The sequence below is a fragment of the Homo sapiens genome, chromosome X, assembly GCF_000001405.40.
Source record: "Homo sapiens chromosome X, GRCh38.p14 Primary Assembly".
NCBI lineage: Eukaryota > Metazoa > Chordata > Mammalia > Primates > Hominidae > Homo > Homo sapiens.
This window is the reverse complement of record NC_000023.11, coordinates 13,382,824-13,405,399: the sequence shown is the minus strand read 5'-3', so window position 1 is coordinate 13,405,399 and position 22,576 is coordinate 13,382,824. Positions and strand designations below refer to the sequence as shown.

General features: G+C 41.5%; 1 long non-coding RNA gene across 1 annotated transcript in view, besides 1 other annotated feature; it reads left to right on the top strand.

The window, feature by feature from the left end:
• The window catches only part of LOC124905248 (uncharacterized), a 32,555-nt gene extending 14,706 nt beyond the window's left edge, over positions 1-17,849 (top strand). Inside the window, exon 2 of the long non-coding RNA XR_007068395.1 lies at positions 17,583-17,849. This is a non-coding gene — a long non-coding RNA (uncharacterized LOC124905248). The remainder of the gene's footprint in view (positions 1-17,582) is intronic.
• Positions 17,364-17,463: a silencer, noted in NCBI's record as "silent region_20666". NCBI's record gives its function as "represses an Ori minimal core promoter by ATAC-STARR-seq in GM12878 lymphoblastoid cells {active_cell/tissue: GM12878}" and the evidence as "EXISTENCE:reporter gene assay evidence [ECO:0000049][PMID:35858748]".
• Positions 17,850-22,576: the final 4,727 nt, after the last annotated feature.

The following is a 22,576-nucleotide window of genomic DNA, read 5'->3' as shown; positions in this document are numbered from 1 at the left end:
TGTCCAGTTTTGTGCCCTTGCTAGAGAGGAGTTGCGATCATTTGCAGGAGAAGAGGCCTTCTGGTGTTTGGAATTTTCAGCATTTTTGCACTTGTTTTTCCTCATCTTTGTAGATTTATCTACCTTTGATCTTTGAGGCTGATGAACTTTGGATGGGGTTTTTGTGTGGGGGGTCCTTTATATTGATGTTGTTGCTTTCTGTTTGTTAGTTTTTCTCCTAACAGGCCCCTCTTCTGCAGGTCTGCTGCAGTTTGCTGGAGGTCCACTCCAGACCTTGTTCGCCTGGGTATCACCAGTGGAGGCTGCAGAACAGCAAAGATTGCTGCCTGCTCCTTCCTCTGGAAGCTCCCTCCCAGAGCGGCACTGGCCTGATGCCAGCCGGAGCTCTCCTGTAGATGTCTGTTGACTCCTGTTGGGAGGTTTCTCCCAGTCAGGAGGCCCGGGGGCCAGGGGCCCACTTAAGGAGGAAGTCTGTCCCTTAGCAGAGCTGGTGCACTGTGCTGGCAGAATGCCTCTTGTCAGGATCAGCTGCTCTCTTCAGAGCCAGCAGGCAGGAACGATTAAATCTGCTGAAGCTGCACCCACAGCCGCCCCTTCCCCCAGGTGCTCTGTCCGAGGGAGATGGGGGTTTTGTCTGTAAGCCCCTGACTGGGGCTGTTACTTTCCCTTCAGAGATGCCCTGCTCAGTGAGGAGGAATCTAGAGAAGCAGTCTGGCCACAGCCACTTTGCTGCGCCCATCCCAGACCTCACAGCCTCCTTAGCACTGTCAGGGGAAAACCTCCTACTAAAGCCTCAGTAATGGAGGACGCCCCTCCCCCTACCAAGCTCAATTGTCCCAGGCCAACTTCAGACTGCTGTGCTGGCAGCAAGAATTTCAAGCCGGTGGTTCTTAGCTTGCTGGCTTCCATGGGAGTGGGACCTGCTGCGCTAGACCACTTGGCTCCCTGGCTTCAGCCCACTTTCCAGGAGAGTGAACGGTTCTGTCTCTCTGGGGTTCTGGGCGCCACTAGGGTATGAAAAAATACTTCTGCAGCTAGCTCCGTGTCTGCCCAAACAGCTGCCCAGTTTTGTGCTTGAAACCCAGGGCCCTGGTAGTGTAGGAACGCAAGGGAATCTCCTGATCTGCAGACTGCAAAAACCGTGGGTATCAGCTGGGTAGCACAGTCCCTCATGGCTTTCCTTGGCTTGGGTAGGGAGGTCCCTGGCTCCTTGCACTTCCTGGGTAAAGAGATGCCCCACCCTGCTTCTGCTTGCCCTCTGTGGATTGGATCCACTGCCTAACCAGTCTCAATGAGATGAACTGGGTATCTCAGTTGGAAATTCAGAAATCACCTGCCTTCTGTGTTAGTCTTGCTGGGAGCTGCAGACCGGAACTGTTCCTATTTGACCATCTTGGCTCCTCCCTCCTGTTATTATATTTTTATGATGAATTTAGAATGAACCAAATTTAATAATTCCCATAGGGAACTTTGGGACACCTGAGCATATGTCCTTGGATTTCATCTGAGAGAAACAGATTTAGGGGGAGCAGGGGACAGAGTAATCCAAGAAGGGGAAACAAAAGACGAGAAGGCCCTGGGAGTGGTGATAAATCAATGTCTGATTGGCTCATTCTGTTGCAGGAAAATCTGGGTTCTTGTCACAGACCAGGAAAGATTAGGCTCGCAGACGCATAGAAGGGAGGAAAAAATGGAATTTATTCGGCAGAAAGGTAAAAAACGGGAAACAGGGACTCTCAGCAAAGTGAGGGTCCTGCTAGCAGGTTTCCTGCTTCACTGATTGAATCCCAGCTTACCACCCAGGAACAGGAGAGGCCAGGCTCCTCCCCGCTGCAAATGGCTTGAACTTTCCAAGGCTCTACCCTAGTGCGCACTTCTCCCAGTGCAAAGGCTGGCTGGAGGTTCTCTGGGGAGCCCCTTTTACTTGGCTGTCTCAATTCCTTTAATGTGAGTGGCGTGAGCCTGGGTTTTTGTGGCTCTCTAGTGAAAGAAGGTGACACCCAAAGACACAAGGATCTAAAGGAGAGAAGCAAGATGTGTGGAAAGGCAGTTCCATTGAGTTGGCCTGTAGCCATTTCCCCTTGCCAGTCCATCCCTCATCCTACATGCCTCAAGAGGCAGAGAGATTTTTCTTTGATTCTACGGAGTTGATTCCTGTGTGTTTGGGTCAAACCTGAAGGCATTCATCTCATATATCAGAGGGCCTCCCTGCCTCTCACAGTGGACTCACTTAGTTCTGCCTTCCTTTTGAGTTCTTGCAAAAACCTAACTCCTGCCTCAACTTTGTCCACTAAAGGTAGATGTGCAAATGTGAGCCATGTGTGCCATTTTAAATTTCCTAGGACCCATATTAAAAAGGTAAAAAGAAACAGGTGAAATTGATTTTATTTTTTATTTGATTTTAATAATTTATTTTATTTAATCCAATATATCCATAATGTTATCAGTTCAACATATAATCAATGTAACAATTATTAAGGAGATATTTGGTATTCTTTTTTCTCATACAAAGTGCTCAAAAAGCCGATGTGGACTTTATACTAACAACATATCTCAATTCAGACTGGCCACATTTTGAGTGCTCAGCGGCCACATGGAGCTAGTGGCTTTGTCATAGACGAACTTCTCCTATGGATGAAAGGCTGTTCCCTTCTTCTCTCACACGGTCCTTTCTTCCTCTCTGAGCTGAGGAAGAGAAAAGAAGAAAGGGAATATTTAATATTTACTGGGCATCAGCTACTCTTTGTTAGGTATCATAATAGGGGACTTCTCATGTTATCTCTTAGAAACCTCTTATCTTCTTGTTAATTAATTAATTTGTTTATTTATTTGAGATGAAGTCTCACTCTATCACCCAGGCTGGAGTGCAGTGGTGCAATCTCAGCTCACTGCAACCTCTGCCTCCCAGGTTCAAGTGATTCTCCTGCCTCAGCCTCCCAAGTAGCTGGGATTACAGGCATGCACCAGCACACCTGGCTAATTTTTGTATTTTTAGTAGAGACGGGGTTTCGTCATGTTGGCCAGCCTGGTCTCAAACTCCTGACCTCAAGTGATCCACCCTTCTCAGCCTCTCAAAGTGCTGGGATTACAGGCATGAGCCACAGCATCCGGCTTATCTTCCCATCTAGACCAATAGGCAAGCCATGATTCCAAATTCCATATGTTTGGCTACATCAGTGGTAAATCCCAGTAAACATTGGATCCTAGAGATCAAGGTCTTTGGGGCCTCAGTGAGGTAGAAGCAATGGAGGGCAGCCTGTTTTAGCCTTTAATCAGCAAAACTATGGTTTGGTTCCAGTAGTGTCTTGCCAGTCTCTTATGTCTGTATAAAATCACAAAGACCCAAGGAAGGCCAAAACCATGGCCTTTGACAGTTCAATGTAATTATCCTGGCAAGGATTGTGTGGCTATGAATTGTTTCCCACAGGTGGTTCTTGCATCCTGTCATACATCCGGCTATGTTTGGTTAAAATGTAAGACACTATGCATTTTATGTATAATATTAACTTTGCTTGGTGGTCACTTTCTGTAGTTTATTATGTTCTTAGCTGTTCATTATTGTTACGACCAAGTGATTCATTTATTTTTTCATGCTAGTGAGTCTTCAACAAGCCTTCCACATTTTACCTGTGTTCCATAATGGACTTCTCATTTTTCATGCAGTGATAGCCACCCTAGTTCAGAATCCTAGGGCTCTGGTGAAAACGCTCCAGGGATGGAGACATAGATAGTCAGGTGTCATTTCAGGAAGGCAAAAGCCATTTCATTGTTTAAGAGCTTTCCATTTTCCCCTTGGTTTCGCTCACTATTTTGGGTTAATGGATGCTTCTGCTAATATGCTGACCTTTTCAATCAATACATTTAGCTTCAGGCATTCTTGAAGTCAGTTCTGTATGCCGACTCTTCAGCAGCCTCTGCATTAGATTAGAACCTTCCTTCCCTCATCAATATACCAATTTTAGATGCCAATTTGCAAAGGCATTGTTTTATAAAACAATTACTTTAACCTTAGTGGCTTGAAATTTCACCAGACATTCCAAAATCTTCTAAAATTTAAAATGTCTCTATTCTTATAAAGCTACCTACAGGAAGATAATTTTTTAGGAAAACCTGGTCTGGGCTACATACCTATTCTTAAGACAAGCAAGATTCTTCATTATAGTCAAGATTGATTGACCTGTCTGTCGAACAGACTACTGTAGGATAAAGCTTTATAAATAAATGACTAGCATGGATTTTTATCTCACCACCACCTTTTATTTTAGTGTTTGAAATCATGAGTGCTAATAGTATAGTTTATCATGATAGAAGCATATTTTAGACTTCTAAGTTTTAAACCTTAAATTTTCTCAATGCACCATAAAATAGAGCAGTGTGGTTTGCATTGACTTAAGTAGAAATTGGGCATTTTTATTCTGGTGAAAAAGTGCCTGAGCTTGGAAACGGATGGTGGATATAGATCTTAGCACTACTGCTTATAGCGTGGAAGGTCTTGGATGAGCTACTTAAATTCAGAAACAATTCACTTAATCACTGAAACTAAAATTTTCACATCTGTAAAATGTTAACTTATTCTTAGCACTACATGAGAGACCTGAAGAGTGTATCTTACAGAGTATTAAAGAATTTAAATGCGAAATGTCTTTTAAAATATGCAGATTGAAACTTATTAGAACACCAGGTGGGTGGCCAGGCTTGGTGGCTCACACCTGTAATCCCAGCACTTTGGGAGGCTGAGGCAGGAGGGCTGCTTGAGGCCAGGAGTTCAAGACCAACCTGGCCAACATAGTGAGACCTCGTCTCTAAACTAAATAAATAAATAAACACCAGGTGGAAATAATGGTGGTGAATAAAGCACACTAGTTGTCATTACCACATTTCTAAGTAGGGACCAATGCAATTGCCCCTACATAGTAATACACATTACATTGCACATGTCTATTAAGTTCTTGTGTCCAGTTTCCCAGGAAATGCAAAAGATACAGGTGAGATGAGAAAGTAATGATCCTATGAAGACTTGTGAGTTTTTAAAAAACACTGAAAGGATTTGTATAAAAAACGAGAGATCCTCAAGTTTTAAAGGTTGATGGCAATATAGAGTGGGAAGAGCAAGTCTGGGCCCAGTCATGGAGACACTAGAGAACTAGGAAGACAGAATGAAGAAAGAGAGCTATTTCTTCAAGTTATTTGTAAGAAAGGAAAAGAGAAGATGTCCAGGTAGTAGGACTAGGATGAGGTAGTGAAGCAAAACTGAGTCTCTGAACTCTTATCTGACTAGGGACTTGATTTTTCCAGAAAGTGGGGTAATACTGAATGTACACTTGGATACCTATTATTCTAAGCTAGGTTTTGGGGGCTGTTATCAGCTAATATTTGTATAGTGTTTTTCACCTCACCAATCATGTCAAGTAGGCATTGCCTATCCATTTTATAAATTTTACATCCATTTTATAAATGAACAGACAATGGACTCAAAGATGGTGGTGACTTTAATGTCACTCTGGCTGAGACTGCTTGTTGCCTACCTAATATTCACTTTTCCTTACATCTTTAGTCAATGAGTCCTGATATTTTTCAGGGTGGCAGCCTAACTAAAAGAGTATATTTCCCAGCTAAGCATGGCATTATAACTGAATTCTGTCCAATATGAAAGCTATTGGGTGTCACTTCCGGAAAGACTCCTTAGAAAGGAATAGGACGTGCCTCTTCTTGCCTTACCCCTTTTACCTTCCTGTTCCCTGGAATGTAGATGTGATGGCTGCAGCCAGAGTAGCCATATTGTGACACTGAGGATGCAAACCATGTATGTATGAGAATGGTGAAGCAGATAGAAGGACTCTGACTGCCCAGTGACTTTGTTAAGGTACTACATCGGCCTGGACTGACCACCTCTGGCCCTTTTTTTTTTTTTTTTTGGAGACTGAGTCTCACTCTGTCACCCAGGAGGCTACAGTGCAGTGGCATGATCTTGGCTCACTGCAACCTCTGCCTCCAAGGTTCAAGCAATTCTCCTGCCTCAGCCTCCCGAGTAGCTGGGATTACAGGTGTGTGCCACCATGCCAGGATAATTTTTTTTTGTATTTTTAGTAGAGGCGGGGTTTCACCATGTTGGCCAGGCTGGTCTCGAACTCTTGACCTCAAGTGATCCGCCTGCCTCAGCCTTCCAAAGTCCTGGGATTACAGGTGTGAGCCACCATGCCTGGCCTCACCTCTGGACTTTTTAATAATCCCTGGAGGCTATCAGAGTTTATTAAAACACCCAGAGGTTAGGATTAGACCAAATGCAGTTGGTCTAATCATAACCAACATGGTCACATAGCTAGGACTTGTAGAGCTTGGACTGTAAGACATCTAACTTTTGCTATTTCCATTCTGGACATGCACCCAGGCAGGTCATTTAAAGACAATATTTAAGTGGAAGAATAATCAAGATGTAAAACCACTCAAATAGTTTCATAAATACTTTTTGGGGAGCATAGAAGTTACTGGTCTTATAGAAGCCCTGTTGTAGAAAACTGTTTATTGTTCAGTTCTCGCTTTAGAAGTTTAAAACACATTTAGGTTTTCTCTTCTCTCGTTTATTTCAATGACTTTCCCTCCTTATCTGACTGTTAGTCTTGTTGGAATCTGGTCATGTGGTTGCTTTGTCTGGATTGTGAGAAATATAAGAATGCGCAAAGCCAGTGTAGTCTTCTCACCCAGCCGACTAACACATGACTCATGCATTCCAGTAAAGGTGGAGCAGGCCTGGCCACCAAAACCTGACCCCTGAGTCATTTCAATCAACTGCGAATGCCCAGGCAGCTGCATGCATTTGCTGAAACATTCTTTGGAAGGCATATGCTAATCCTTTCTTCCTAGATATAAATATTAACTCATCCATGCCTGTAGCACTTGTGGTCTCTGAACCCTACTTTTGGAATGCAGTTGGGGATATCAAGTTTGCAGGCTTGAGACACTGCCAGGTGACAGTTTGCTTCATTTTTCCATGGCCTTATTTAATCCTTTATTACTTTTTTTTTTGGTAGCACATGGCATTCATTTATGCACCCCTGGATGAGCAAAGTTCTTTGGCAGTTAACCTGAGTGACAAGGCACAAATCAATGGTCACTTCTTCCTTTCACAATAGGAAATTCTTGACTTAACCCTACTAGTTTCTTTCCAGCAGGGATGCAAGAGGTTACTGAGAACAGTGTCGATAACCTTGCATGATGTGCTATTTCTTTTTTCTTTTGATTAGGCTGTTTGCCCCCTTCATCATACCCTTACAAAATCATCCTCATATTTGTGTCATTAACCCTTTAACTGATTTCAACACACTTCCAGGAAGATTCAGTGGGTGTTTCAATCTACCATTTTGCAAGAGTGTCTCTTCTTACCTATCCATAAGCATAACTAATCTTTCTTTCATATCAATCTGTACTAATAGTACATTTGTAGCTCGTGGAATCTAATAAGGATTATGTAAATTTCTGCCTATTGATTTTTTTAGGTCCTCCAAACTAGATAAAAGGAAAGACTTTTATTTTCTGATGTCCCATTTAATAATTCAGTCTTCTTTTTCTGCAACTTAAACTCCATATCTATTATAATCTCTGCTTCATATAATAGCTGTTCTCATAGATACTTCAAGATTTTTTTCAGAAGGTCAAACAAGAGCTTCCTGCAAGATATAAAGGTGAGAGAACATTTAAACAGGCATCTCCAGTCATTGATAAGTTACTTGCTTCTTTGAAAATTCCAATTATCTTTGTGTACATGTTTTAAATTGCAGACGTTGTATTGGATAGAGATATCAGATTCACTGGGAAAGAGAGTGAGGGGCTAAATTTATTTTAGCTGAGATTTCTGCCACAGGCTCTTCAAGTTGAGCACCTTCTCTCAGTGGGTAGAGAGGCTAATTTAGCTTCAAAAATGATGATTTTCACAACACAAATGCAATGTACCATGAATTTCACTAGTTTAGAAAGCTAGATATTATATACTTGTGTTTTAAGAGTTCCAAGAAAAGGAGCCATTAACCATCTTACTTTTATCAATCAAAATAATTAAATTGAAAATAAAATGAAATTTTCTGAGTAAATCAGTTGTAATAATTGCTCTGTGATTTATGAAATATGAGTGGGCTGTTGAGAAATACACTCTCTAGTTGATGGACCATATATTATGCTAGCTGTTCCTTAAGGCTGCTCTTCTGAAAGCAAATCTATTTGCTGAAAGAAGTGGACTGAAATGGGAAACAAATTGTGCACTAGAAGGCACTAGAATTATGAATGTCAGCCTGGAATGGAAAACATATATTTCAGAAACATGCTTATTGGGAGAATAGACAAAGCATGAGGTCATAGGAAGGAAGGGCAGAGATGGGGAATAAATGATTAATAAAAAGCTTCTGAATGCTCTGTGGAACAACTCCAAATCCTTTCATAGATCAGTTTTACATTGCCTTAACTTTCCAGTGGGGGCATGGGGAGGCCCATGGGCATTTTAGAAAATTATAAAGTTTGCATTCATTTTTTCACGATTAGTATTTTCCCTTATTCTTCATTGCCTCTTCCTGAACATTCTCTATGGTATTATTAGAACTCTTATTAAAAACAAAAAACCTCTTTCCAGCTCATGCCATTTCATCCCTGTCCCACCTTCTGTCTCTCCTACTGACCTCCTGGTAACTCCCCAACATTGATGGAAGACTTTTGCACCTTACTCACAGTCTTCCTTCCCACCTCAAAACATGTTGTTATCCTGGGTAGCTTCAGCATAGTAATTAGCTATATTATTTTGGGGACTACCACTGAGGCAGGAGAATAGGGCCTGAAGGCAGAGAACCTAAGGACTTCCTAGAACTAAATCAAATGGAAACACTTCAGCTGTGACAGGAAATAGCCTCTTCATTTACATAGGGCATACAATGAGTAAATGACTGATATGGTTTGGCTGGGTCCCCACCCAAATCTCAACTTGAGTTGTATCTTCCAGAATTCCCATGTGTTGTGAGAGGGACCCAGGGAAAGGTAATTGAATCATGGGGGCTCGTCTTTTCCATGCTATTCTTGGGATAGTGAATAAGTTTCAGGAGATTCATGGGTTTATCAGGGGTTTCTGCTTTTGCTTCTTCCCCATTTTTCTCTTGCCGCCGCTATGTAAGAAGTGCCTTTTGCCTCCCGTCATGATTCTGAGGCCTTCCCAGCCATGTGGAACTGTAAGTCCATTTAAACCTCTTTTTCTTCCCAGTTTTGGGTATGCCTTTATCAGCAGTGTGAAAATGAACTAATACAATGACTTCGTAACTTTACTTTATCCTCTTCATTTACATATGATGTACACCGAGTAAATAACTTTGTAACTTCACTTTAGTTTCTTCATTTACATAGGGCGTATACTAAACAACCAATGGAAACCTCTAGAGGGTATTTAAACCCCAGAAAATTCTGTAACTGGGCTCTTGAGCTGCTTGCTCAAGCTGCTCCCACCCTGTGGAGTGTGCTCTGCTTTTCAAGAAATCTCTGCTTTTGTTGCTTCATTCTTTCCTTGCTTTGTGTGTTTTGTCCAATTCTTTGTTCAAAACGCCAAGAACCTGGACACCCTCCACCAGTAACAGTCTGATATTTACCCTCCTTCTAACTTCCTTCTGAAAAACTACCTCTTCCCTGACTCGTTTCCTTACTGTAACTTGCAGCATTTATCACTGTTGTAGTCTCACATCTATTTCATGTTACTTGATTTTCTGGCTTCCCTGTTAGAGTGTCAAGTAAGCTTTATAGAGGAGGACACCATATTTGTTTTTTCACCATTTTTTCCCCAACCCTGATTACAGTGCCTGGCACATGGTGAGTGCTCAATAAATACTGATTGAATGAGTGCATCCTTCATCACAAAGCATGATGCTTATATAGAGAAGTCTTGACAATCCAGACTGATTGGGGAAAAAGCCTGTCTAATGATATAGAAAGATTAGAGTTTTAATTTTAAAATAAGCAATTTATGATTATAAACATTCAAGTACCTTCAGTGTATGACAGGTCAAGTCTTGGGCAAAATGGTGAAGCAGACATAAATCTCCCTTTTTTGTTTTCTTCACACTTTTCCTCCTCTTCAAGGACTTGGAGTCTTGTCATTTTTCTAGTCTATCAAAACCTGCAGGGTGTGACAAGAGTTGCTGAAACCTCAGTATGCACTTCACTCAGGGTCTTCCATCTTGCTTGGCCATTTCCATTTATGTCTTTCTTGTTCAGAAAGGGAAAATTTTAAGACCTGTGGAGAAGTTCATGTGGAGAAGAACTGAGGCCTCAGGCCACCAGACATGTGTAAGTCATTTTGGAAGAGCAACGGTAGCTATCTACTCTGGGTTTGTGTATTAGTCTTGTGTTTCTGATGCTTTCACGTTTTTGAGCCTTGCCGACCCTGGAGGGACAGCCCCTCACAGGGCTAGTCAATTCCTAGAGATAGTGAAGGGCTCACCTGCAAGTGTGTCTTTCTAGATACAAACCAACCAATCCAAAGCCCATACCCTCAACCACTTCTTTTATTGAACTCTTACACTCCACGTGGTCCTGACTGGCATGGCGTCTCCATCTTCTTTGGAAGTGTAACCAACCATCTTTTCAATGGCAATCGGATCTGTTGGCCTCACCATATTTGAATAATAATAAACTTACATTTGAAAACAGCATGCCAACTAGAATGTTTAGGTAAGCATGACTTAATTGAGGGTGAACTAATCAAGTTCCATAGGAACACAAAGAAGAGCCATGCACATTTGTCTTTGAGTGGGGAGGCTTATGGCCATACTACAGGATAACTGAGGAGTCTGTGGAAATCACCACGTCATCCCCACAATCATCTTGAATCCCTTTGCTTTGAGATGAAGATGTAAGATTTCATGGAGAAGAAGTGAAGTATCTGAGGGATTCCCAGAGAACAACCAGGGGCAAGGCCAAGGGTGGATTTGTGAGAGAAAGATCCTCAGACACTCCTTCAATTTCTACTAGCACCTCTCAAGCCACCCACTTATCTAACACTCTTCAATATGCACAATTGGCATTATCTTTTAAAAAAATAAATTATTTCATTTTGAAACAAACACAAACTTACAGAAGGGTTGAAAGAAGAATACAGAATTGTTTTTCCCTGAACCAGTTCCCAATCTGATGCTCCAACCCTCCTGAATCCTATAAAAAAGAACATTTTCCTACACAACCACAATACAGCCATCCAAGTCAGGAAATTAGCATTGATACATTAAGACCCTGCAATCTACAGATGCCAACTAAGTTTTGACGACTATCCCAGTAACGCCATTTATCACAAAAGGATCAGTGCAGAGTCACATGCGGAACTTGGCTGTCATATCTTTTCCATCTCCCTCAGCTGAAACAGTTCCTCAGTCATTCTCTGAATTCCATGGATTGGACACTTTTGAAGATTATAGGGCAGTTTTTTATTGAATGCCTCTTGATTCAGGTTTGTCTGAGTTTTCTCAGGATTAGATTCAGGTGGGCATTTTCTTAGTCATAGGGAATGTGAGCATAAAAACACTTCCAGCAGCCTTTGCTATTTTTAATGACCTGTAGCAAACAAGTGTGTGTTTGTTGGGCAAAATGAGTCCCTGGGGGGTGATTGTTTTCAGAATGAGGTGAAGTGTATACGTGTTTACATGTGTATACAGTGGATAAGTGTACATAAGTGAGCGTGCATGTATCCACTCCAGCAGTAGTCAATGAAGGGGCCTATTCAGGACTCAATACCGCTGGAGTTGATTATTTAGAGCTTGAAGAATCCTTACTAAGCCTATATCTAGTATTTTGCTAGTTGACACGAAGGGATGTGAAGAATATTTTATTGGCAAAATGAGTGGTGGTCATGAAAAGCAGTTGGTTGGGGATAATGTTCAAAATGCGCCACTCTTTATGTCTAAGAGTTTATTTTAATTTTTTTTTTGAGACGGAGTCTTGCTCTGTCGCCCAGGCTGGAGTGCAGTGGCGTGATCTTGGCTCACTGCAACCTCCGCCTCCCAGGTTCAAGTGATTCTCGTGCCTCAGCCTCCCGAGTAGCTGGGATTACAGGCACGCACCAGTACTGCCTGGCTAATTTTTGTATTTTTAGTAGAGATGGGGTTTTGCCATGTTGGCCAGGCTGATCTCAAACTCCTGATCTCAGGTGATCCACCCGCCTCGACCTCCCAAAGTGCTGGGATTACAGGCATGAGCCACCACAACCGAACCCAACATTTTACTTTTATTTTTTTAATTTTTATTATTTTTTTTTTGAGATGGAGTCTCTCCCTGTTGCCCAGGCTGGAGTGCAGTGGCGTGATATCCTCTTACTGCAACCTCTGCCTCCTGGTTCAAGCGATTCTCCCACCTCAGCCTCCCGAGTAGCTGGGACTAAAGGCGCCTGCCACCACACTTGGTTAATTTTTTTTTTTTTTTTTTTGGTATTTTTAGTAGAAATGGGGTTTCACCATGTTGGCCAGGCTCGTCTCCAACTCCTGACCTGAAGTGATCTGCCTGTCTCAGCCTTCCAAAGTGCTGGGATTGCAGGCATGAGCCACTGCACTCAGCCAAACAGTTTAAAACAATATGTGTAGTTCTTGAGGTCTTGAGATACAACGTCCCATGGCTCTCCTCTTCTCAACAGCCCCTGACTATCACTTGAGTCTATCCAGTCCTGCTGCCCAAATATCTTTGTATTCACTTCAGAGTAAGCCTCTCACATAAGGTGCTAGTCGGTGTGTTCTGGGGGAGAGTGGGCAAACCCTGTACTATGGAACAATGTGATGGTTTTGTGTGCCTTCTTGCTAATAAGTATTTATAGGTTTGGCAGACCTTGGTCTGCCATGGTAAGAAGACCTTTCAGTAGTGACATTGGAGTAAGAAAACTGATAGCTCACACTACCAGGCATAAGTTAAATGACACCACAAGGAAACATGCAGATAAATCCATTATGTAGAACAAAGCAGTTGAAATGGACTCTTTAGATAGTTGATGTCATGAAAGGAAAAGTGAGGAGGAGTGCTATGGATTGAAACTGAAGGAACATAATGTCCAAATGTTTCTATGAACCATGATTAGATTCTAGTTGAAAAAATAGCTATGAAATCCAAAATATTAGGTAATTAAAAAAAATAAGGCCGGGTGCGGCGGCTCACGCCTGTAATCCCGGCACTTTGGGAGGCTGAGGCAGGTGGATCATTTGAGGTCAGGAGTTGGAGACCAGCCTAGCCAACATGGTGAAACCCCGTCTCTACTAAAAATACAAAAATTAGCTGGGTAGTAGGGGTGTGGACCTGTAATCCCAGCTACTCGGGAGGCTGAGGCAGGAGAATCGCTTGAGCCTAGGAGGCAGAGGTTGCTGTGAGCCGTGTTCATACCACTTCACTCCAGTCTGGGCAACAGAGTGAGACCCTGTCTCAAAAACGAAAAACAAAAAAAAAACCAAAAAGCTTTTATTCTGATATAATTTTACTTACAGAAAAGTTGCAAGAATAATACAAAGAATGAACATATAAACTCCACTCATAATTTCCAAGTGTTAACATTTTACTACATTTACTTTTTCCTTCTCTCTCTCACACACATATGTACATGCACACACACACACACAAAATATGTACATTTATATATTTAATTTTTTCCTGAACCATTTTGAAGTCCACTGCAGGCATGATGCTTCTTTCCTTCAGTGATAATTTCTAAGAAATAAGGACATTCTCTTACATAACCACACTAATAATCATTAAAATCTGGCAATTTCCATGGACACTATACTGTTATCTAATCTATAGACCTTTTTCAAATTTTGCTAATTGTCCCAATAATGTCCTTTACAGCAAAAGAAAATTTCAGATCTTATAAAGCATTTAGTTGTCTTATGTCTATAATCTCATTTAATCCTAAATACTTTCTTAGTCCTTCTTAGCCTTTCACAACATTGACATTTGTAATACAGATTAGTTACTCTGTATAATGTTCTTTAGTTTGAGTTTGTCTATTTTCCCATGATTAGACTCAGGTTATGCATGTTTTTGGCAGGAATAGCACAGAAATCATGTGTACTCAGTACATCATATTGTGGATCACATTTATGTCAGTTTGTCCCATTTCTGGTGATGCTGAATTCGATCACTTGATTAAGGCCTTGTATGACAAATTTCTCTACTATAAAGCTACTTACTATTTTCCCCTTTGTAATTAATGAACATCTTGTGAGGAAAAACTTTGAGACTCTGTAAATATCCTTTTACTCCTGGTGCTAGGCAGAATGGCCTCCCAAAGATGGCCATGTCTAATCCTGTAAACTGTGAATATGTTACATGGCAAAAGGTTGAATAAAAGTTACAGACAGAATTAAGGTTGCTAATCAGCTGAGAGGAAGATTATGCTGGTGGGCCCAAGGTAATCACAAGGGTCCTTAAAAGTTCCAGAGGCAGGCAAATGAATCAGAATCAGAGAAGGAGTTATAATGACAGAAGCAAAAATTAGAATTATGCAAAGTGAGAAGGACTTGACCCATCATTTGCTGGCTGTGAAGACAGAAGAAGGGGATCATGAGCTAAGAAACATGGGTGGCCTTTGTTTTAAAATGTGGATCTTATTATTATTCAGATACAGTGAGGCCGACAGACCAGGCGTTTATTTCCATTGAAAAAATACTTTGTTATACTCGCAGATCCCAAGAGTAGGGACATGCCAAATTATGGGGGCTACATGAGGAAGCACTGGGCTTGGTGTTTTAGTTCGTCCTCACACTGCTATAAAGAAATACCTCAGGGGCTGGGCGTGGTGGCTCACGCCCTGTAATCCCAGCACTTTGGGAGGCTGAGGCAGTTGGATCACAAGGTCAGGAGTTCAAGATGAGCCTGGCCAACATGGTGAAACCCCGTCTCTACTAAAAATACAAAAATTAGCCAGGTGGTAGTGGCGTGGACCTGTAATCCCAGCTACTCGGGAGGCTGAGGCTGGAGAATCGCTTGAAACCAGAAGATGGAGGTTGCAATCAGCCGAGATCATGCCACTGCACTCCAGCCTGGGTGAAAGAGCAAAACTCCATCTCAAAAAAAAAAAAAAGAAAAAAGAAGAAGAAGAAAAAAAGAAATACCTCAGGCCGGGTAATTTGTAAAGAAAAGAGGTTTAATTAGTTCATGGTTTTGCAGGCTGTTATAGGAAGCATGATGCTGTATCTGCTGAGCTTCTGGGGAGGCCTCAGGAAACTTACAATCATGATGGAAAGGGGGAGCAGGCATGTCACATGGCCAGAGCAGGAGCAAGAGAGTGAGGGAGGAGGTGCTACACACTTTTAAACACCCACACCTAACAAGAACTCACTATCATGAGGACAATACCAAGGGGGATGGTGCCAAGCCATTAATGAGAAAACTGCCCCCATGATCCAATCACCTCCCACCAGGCCCCAACTCCAACACTGAGTATTACATTTCAATATGAGACTTGGGCAGGGACACACATCCAAACTATTATCAGTTGGTCAGGAGGCAGAGAGTGCAAGGTGAAAATGTGGGCAAGAGCCTTTATTGTGGTTTCCATTGGAAGAAATGGGTGAGGCAGGGTAAGCAGGTTTAGATCAGCTAGTTTGAATAATTTCAGTGGACTCTGAGGTGTAAGGGCTGTCTCTAGTGTCTGGCACCTAGCCTGGGTGATTAAGGCAGGGTAGTGGTGGCCCAGGGTGTCAGAGCTCAATAGAGGAGGCAGTTGTGGGTGTGGGCTTTGGATTAGTTGGTTTGCATTAGAAAGGCACACTTGCAGTCAAATCCTCTACTATCTCTAGGGATTAGCTAGCCCTTGGAAGAGCTCCAGGGTCACCAAGCCCCCAAGATGTCAAAGCATTAAAAATAGAGAAAATAAAAATACGCTATATATATACCTCTAGATGTTGGAAATGGCAAGGAAAGGGCTTCTTCCCTAGAGCTTCAGAAAGGAATGCAGCCCTGCTAACATGGTGGCGTTAGCCTTGGGAGACTTGCATTGGACTTCTAACCTACAGAATTGTGAGATAATAAATCTGCATTGTTTTAGCCACAAAATTTGTGGTAAGTTGTCACAGCAGTAGTAGGAAACTAATACAATATACTCCTCAAGCTTCCACCCACTAATTTTAGTATCCATTGATGATTCTTGCCTAAATCGATTTTTATTATGACCGTAATTTTTCTTATCCCATTGTTCCTTCTATTTAATAGGTGGTTTTCTACTACAAGGACAATGTTTTTTCCCCTTGCCTCCCCACCATTTATTTATATAAATATGGACACACAGATCCTTCTTTCATTTAATGGGCTATACTCCTTTATTGTCATTCATTCTGATGCTCAAATTTTTCCTAATTTCATCAGTAGGAACACCCTTAAGCTGGCTTCTGCGTCTTTTTGACTTGTCAGCTGGAAAATTTGCATGCGAAGGCCATGTAATGGGATTATTATTAATCTTCTTAAATATGACAACGGTATTAAGGTTATATAGGAGAATGTCCCCTTTCCTTGGGAGATATATTTACGGGTGAAGAGTGATGGTATTATTTGCAACTTACTTTCAAATGGGTCAGCACCTCCAAAAAGGCGATGCTTTTATAGGCTTTGTGCATCTATGTCTCTCTCTGTGTGTGTGTGTGTGTGTGTGTGTGTGTGTGTGTGTGTGTGTGCAGAGAGAGAGAATTAGCAAATTTGGCAAAATGTCAAAATGATCAAATCTAGGTGGAGGATAACCAAGTGTTTATTGTGTTATTCTTTCAATTTTTCTGCATGCTTAAAATTTTTTACAATAGAATTTAGGGGAAAATGCAAACAAAGAAAAATAGCCTTAAAAAACAGCTGATTCATTGTTCTCAGGACATAGTTGTGCATATAGCACATACTTCATGATCTTTCCCTTGGGTCCAGGGTACAAAAAGGATAATTTTTTTAATGAACATTTTAAAGTGTCAGCTTAAATCTGGCCTCTGTGATTTAATTAAATGGAAAGTTTGCCCATAAAGTGCCTGAAAGCAATGACCTCATTAAAGTATGTAAACACTGTTCCTCAGATCTCATTTACACTTTTTTATTTGTGCTTATGGACAAAGTTATTTTATAATCCAATCCCTGTCTAAATCACCATAAGTTTTAGATTAGCAATGACCCATAAAGGGAGTTTTAATATGTAGTTTATAGAAATCCACATTCCAATGAAAATCCAACCAAAGGGGAATGAAAATGCAATGCAAAGCTTATTAAACTATTTGAAGTTTCTTCTACCTAATTTTTCAGAGCTTTTTATACATGACTAGACTCATACATTTATAATCATTGAAGTTTGGCAGGTACAGAGAGCTGATATGAAGTGTTGCAAGAAAACTGATGAAGGAGCCACCCAGACAGCTGCCCTGTGGTAGCTTTAAAATAGGTCAACACATTTGAAACTTTTCCCTTTCAAGGGTGGAGACTCATTCTCTTCCACTTGAGCATGGGCTAGACTTAGTGACTCACTTCTAACTAATAGAATATGGCAGCAGTGGTGGTGTGTGGCTTCTGAGACTAGATGGTGTCAGCATGGCAACTTCCTCTTTGCTGTCTCTCTTATATCATAGCTGCCATGCCATGAAGACACTCAAGCAGCCCTATGAAAAGGTCCACTTGGGGAGGAACTGAGACCTCTTGCCAACAACCATGTGAGTAACCCGTCTTGGAAGACGATCCACCAACCCCAGTCAAGGCTTCAGATGACTGTCACTCCAGCCAACATCTTGACTACGACCTCATGAGAGACTCTGTGCCAGAACCACCCAGCTAAGCTGCTCCTGAATTCCTGACCCCCAGAAACTGAGATAATAAATGTTTATTATTTTGAGCCACAATATTTTTGGGTAATTTGTTGGAAGGCAATAGATAACTAATACAGGCTCTCATAATGTCATTTATTTGGGTCCAGTCAGCATGCTTTAGGATCTGGGAGTTTTTTTCCTTCATCCATAATCTAACAGCAATATAAGGAATACAAGAAAAAGAAACTAAAGAGACTTCCCTGGATTCTCCTGGTATTGGTGGATGTAACATTTGACTCTTTACTTCTTCCCTGCTGAGTCTGAAGGGCTTTTGCTTGAAGTAATTTGCCATTTTGGAAGAGAAGCACTATTTGGCTAGTGTGTGTTTTAGTGTCAGAAAGTCCCTTAGGAAATGAATAAACCCAGAGTCTCCAACTCACTTAATAAAGCATTGCATTTAATCCTGCAACAATCCTGTGATGTAGGCACACTTGCCTGATTTTAAGGCTGAGGGAATTGAAGTATTATGTGTCAGGGATACACACAAATGTGGGGGAATATGAAAGGTCTTGGAGGCTGTCTTCATAAATATCCAGTTACTTCTGCGTCATGGAAGAGAGGAAAAAAGAAAGGCATTAAGAAGGGAACAGATATAATGTACTGAGTATGGGGAGAAAGGTACTCTCTTTGCTCCCAAATGAGAGAATTATTTCCTGAAAGGCTAGTTGAAGGTCTAATCAAGTTGACATGGTCCTCAATCCCTAATTCCCTGGAGGCCTTGGAAACTCAGCCAGCCTAGGCCTGAACAATGAGCCTCCACATGGCTACTTTCCTTTGATCTTCTGCTTCCTTTGAACAAAGTAGCAGAAGGTCTTGAAGGGCAAAAGTGGCCAATTTCTAGGTTTTCAAAGACTCTGGGAGCTGGTGAATGAAAAGGGATGTTTGTAGCTTTATGCTGTGTCAGGAATTTGATACCCCCTATCTGGGGATGTTATATGACATGGTTGAACCTGAACAGACACTGCAGACATGGTGGTCTGTTGTCAGTCCTACAGCAAAAGGGCATTCCCTATTCTGGCCAGGTTTTGAAAAGGAAAGTACCAGCGATTTGAAGTCAAACAGATTCTTGTCACTCCCTTAGTCCTGGTTCTGCTACTAACTGGCTGTGTCCCTTCACTATGAATCTTGGTCTTTTTATTCACAAATGTAGATAAAGTGTTTTCTCTGATTTTTTTTAGCTCTGACATTTTAGGATGACATGATTCCTCTAGGAAGCTCCAAAAGGCTCCAGTTCCGTCAAGTAAATTAATCCTACTTGTTTTATTTGTACCTTGTCAGAGGCGTTTGGACCAGAGTGACTCCATCTTGAATAGGGGCTGGGTAAAATAAGGCTAAGACCTGTTGAGCTGCATTCCCAGCAGGTTAGGCATTCTAAGTCACAGGATGAGATAGGAAGTCAGCACAAGATACAGGTCATAAAGACCCTGCTAATAAAACAGGATGTGGTAAAGAAGCTGGCCAAAACCCACCAAAACCAAGACGGCAATGAAAGTGACTTCTGGTCATCCTCACTGCTCATTATACGCTAATTATAATGTATTAGCATGCTAAAAGACACTCCCACCAGTGCCATGACAGTTTACAAATGCCATGGCAACGTCAGGAAGTTACCCTATATATAATATATAGTTACCCTATGTATGTAATAATTGTTATTATCAAAAATTCCCTTCTGATTAATGTGGTAGATTTCATAGTCTTTAAAAAATATGGTGAAGTCCACATTTAAGGGAAACTGAATAACTCTGAGTAGGGCATTTTGGAAATAATTTCTCTTTGAAAGCAGATTGGGCAGCCTGAGCACTAACAGAGTGTTGGAAAAAGGAGTATCTTTTCTGTGACTTAGTTATTAATTTAATGAGAAGTCAAAACAGATACAGGGAATATTTACTTTTAACTTCCCCAAAGTGACAAAAAATAAACAACCATTTAAGGTGAAAAAACGTTGGTGGCTTTTCCCCAGACAGTCCTAATGTTTGTCTTCATTTTAGTTTATGTGTTCCTAGTAAAAATGACAGAAACACTGAGCTAGGCTTCTGTGGTTATTTAAAATTCAGCATGCTATGAACTTTCTATGATGACAGACGTGTTCTATATCTGTGCATTCCAGTATAGTAGTCCTTAGCCACATTTGGTTATGTACTTGAAGTGTAGCTAGTGTGATCCAAAAACTGATTTTTAATTTTATTTAATATTAATTAATATATATTGAAATTCAAATAGCCACATGTGTTTAGTGGCTACTGTATTGGATAATACTAGCCTAAAGCCTTGATATGCTGAAAATGTCTTTGCAAAAATTATAACTGAGGAAATTATGACAGTGAAAGAGATCAGACCTACCTAACCAACTCCATCTTGCTTCTAACCTTTAAGCTGTCCTCGTTCATTCCTGGGCGTAGGCCAACTAACCTTGGAAAGGAATTTAATTTATGGTTTAACTCTGAAACAAAATTGATTATAGACTTTGCCCATCTGAAGCCAAGGCTGGCTCCTCAGTCCCTGCTCCCAGGGTCTCTGACCTTGTTCCTGCTGTGTGTGCTCAGCTTGGGTTAGGATAACAAGGCATTACAAAGATCAATAAGACCCACGCTATCGTGAGCTCCTCACATACAGTATCTCATTTAATCCTCGAAAGATCCCTGAGATGTAGCATCATTTTCACTCTCAGTTTGCTGCTAAGGAATATGAAGTTCAGTGAGGTTAAATTGCTAAGGCCACACTGTTACTAACAAGTAGAGCTGGAATCAAGCCAGGATCTTTCTAATTTTATTTTAGTTGTTTTGAGAAGGAGTCTCGCTCTGTCACCCAGGCTGAAGTGCAGTGGCACAATGTCGGCTCACTGCAACCTCCGCCTCCCGGGGTCAAATGATTCTCCCACCTCAGCCTCCCAAGTAGCTGGGATTACAGGCATGCACCACCAAGCCTGGCTAATTTTTGTATTTTTAGTAGATACAGGGTTTCACCATGTTGGCCAGGCTGGTCTTGAACTCCTGACCTCAAGTGATCTGCCTGCCTTGGCCTCCCAAAGTGCTGGCATTACAGGCAAGAGCCATCGTGCCTGGCTCTGACCCACCATATGACACACCCCAGATTCTGATTTGCACTTTTGGCCCGTACCTTGGGGGAATCCTGTATTTTTGATCTGATTTGCAAATCGTGCTTTGAGAAACATGACCCAAATTCTCCTCATTCTGAACAGAATTCCAAAGTAGAGTTGCCTTAAACCAGAGGTTCTCAACTAGGGGTGATTTTGCCCCCCAGGGGACATTTGGCAATGTCTAGAGACATTTCTGGTGTTAAAATTAAGTTTGGCCTAAATCTGCCTCCTTATGTATTTCAAGTTTGGCCTAAAGGTTTCTCCGTACATACTGAACTGTAACCTAACTTGGTATGTAAACAGACTAACTTACCCTTGTACCAATCACAGAGTTTCAGCCAGTCACGGGCAGTCAACTGTTCAAACCCTGTTCAAATAAGGCAAACACGGTGCTATAAAACCAATCCAGCAGTTTCTGTACCTCACTTCCGTTTTCTGTCACTTTCCTTTTTCTATCTGTAAATGTTATCCAACCATGTGGCAGACCTTCAGGTCTGAACCTATTGTGGTTCTGTGGGCTGCCTGATTTTAGAATTGTTCTTTACTCAGTTAAACTCTATTAAATTTAATTCGTATAAAGTTTCTTTTAACACTGGTTGTCACAACTTGTGGGGAGGTTGCTGCTCGAATCTAGTGGGTAGAGGCCACGGATATACCCCATGTTGGGGTGGGGGCTGGTACTGTCCTGTGCACTGTAGAGGGTTTAGCAATATGCACTGTGCATTTTCCCCAAATGTTAATTAGTTCTGAGGTTGAGAAGCCTTGTCTTTAAGCAAAGCCAGGACCTCTGGTGTCCCTGGGAAAGGCGACAACAACCTGAATGTAAAGTGAAAAAAATAACAAATTTCATTGTTGACTTTAAAGAAAACCAAAATATTTCACCCCTAAATATATTTCTTTGACATATTTTGAGATGGCTGTTCAGGGCGCCTGCAAACAGAAGCAGCCCTGCAAAGCTGTCTTTTGTGGGGAGAGATTTGCATCTGTAGAGAAAATCTGCACTGATGCAGCCAGGTTTTCTCTTAGCTCTGCCTTGTCCGGATCTAGGAAAGATGAACTGACAGTCCGACACCTTTAAAGGTCTGAAAGAAACATTTACCATCTATTCTCTCTGAGAGCTGCTACCTGTGAGGTCTTTTCTGTGTTAACAAGACCACCTTTGCCAGCCAGGCCTCCTCTCCTCCTTCTCCTATAACCTGTTTTGCCAACATAGCGTGCTTTGCAATCTCCCAAGTCCCCATTCATTCTGTAACCTCAAGATGGTATAAAAGCATCAATTAATTATCTGGCCATTTCTTTGAGATCTCCTATTTTGTAGGACTCTCATGCACGTTAATAAATTGTATGCCTTTTGTCCTATTAATCTGCCTTTTGTCAGTTGATTTTTCAGCAAACCTTCAGAGGGCAAAGGGGAAGTTTTCCCTTGGTCCCTACACATTGGTTTCAAGCAGCATAGATTTCAGTGATTTACAGAAATTCAAGGCAGTGATTTCCAACCTTATCAGAACAGTACTCCCCTTTAATAATAAATAGTTGTAGGAAAACTAAGAATGCAATAGTTACAAATGCCAGTAGATTCAGGTGTGTTATATTGAGAACTGGTGGTGTCAGGATTTTCCACAACAATGAATGATTTGTGCTAAAAGTTCCATACAGAGCA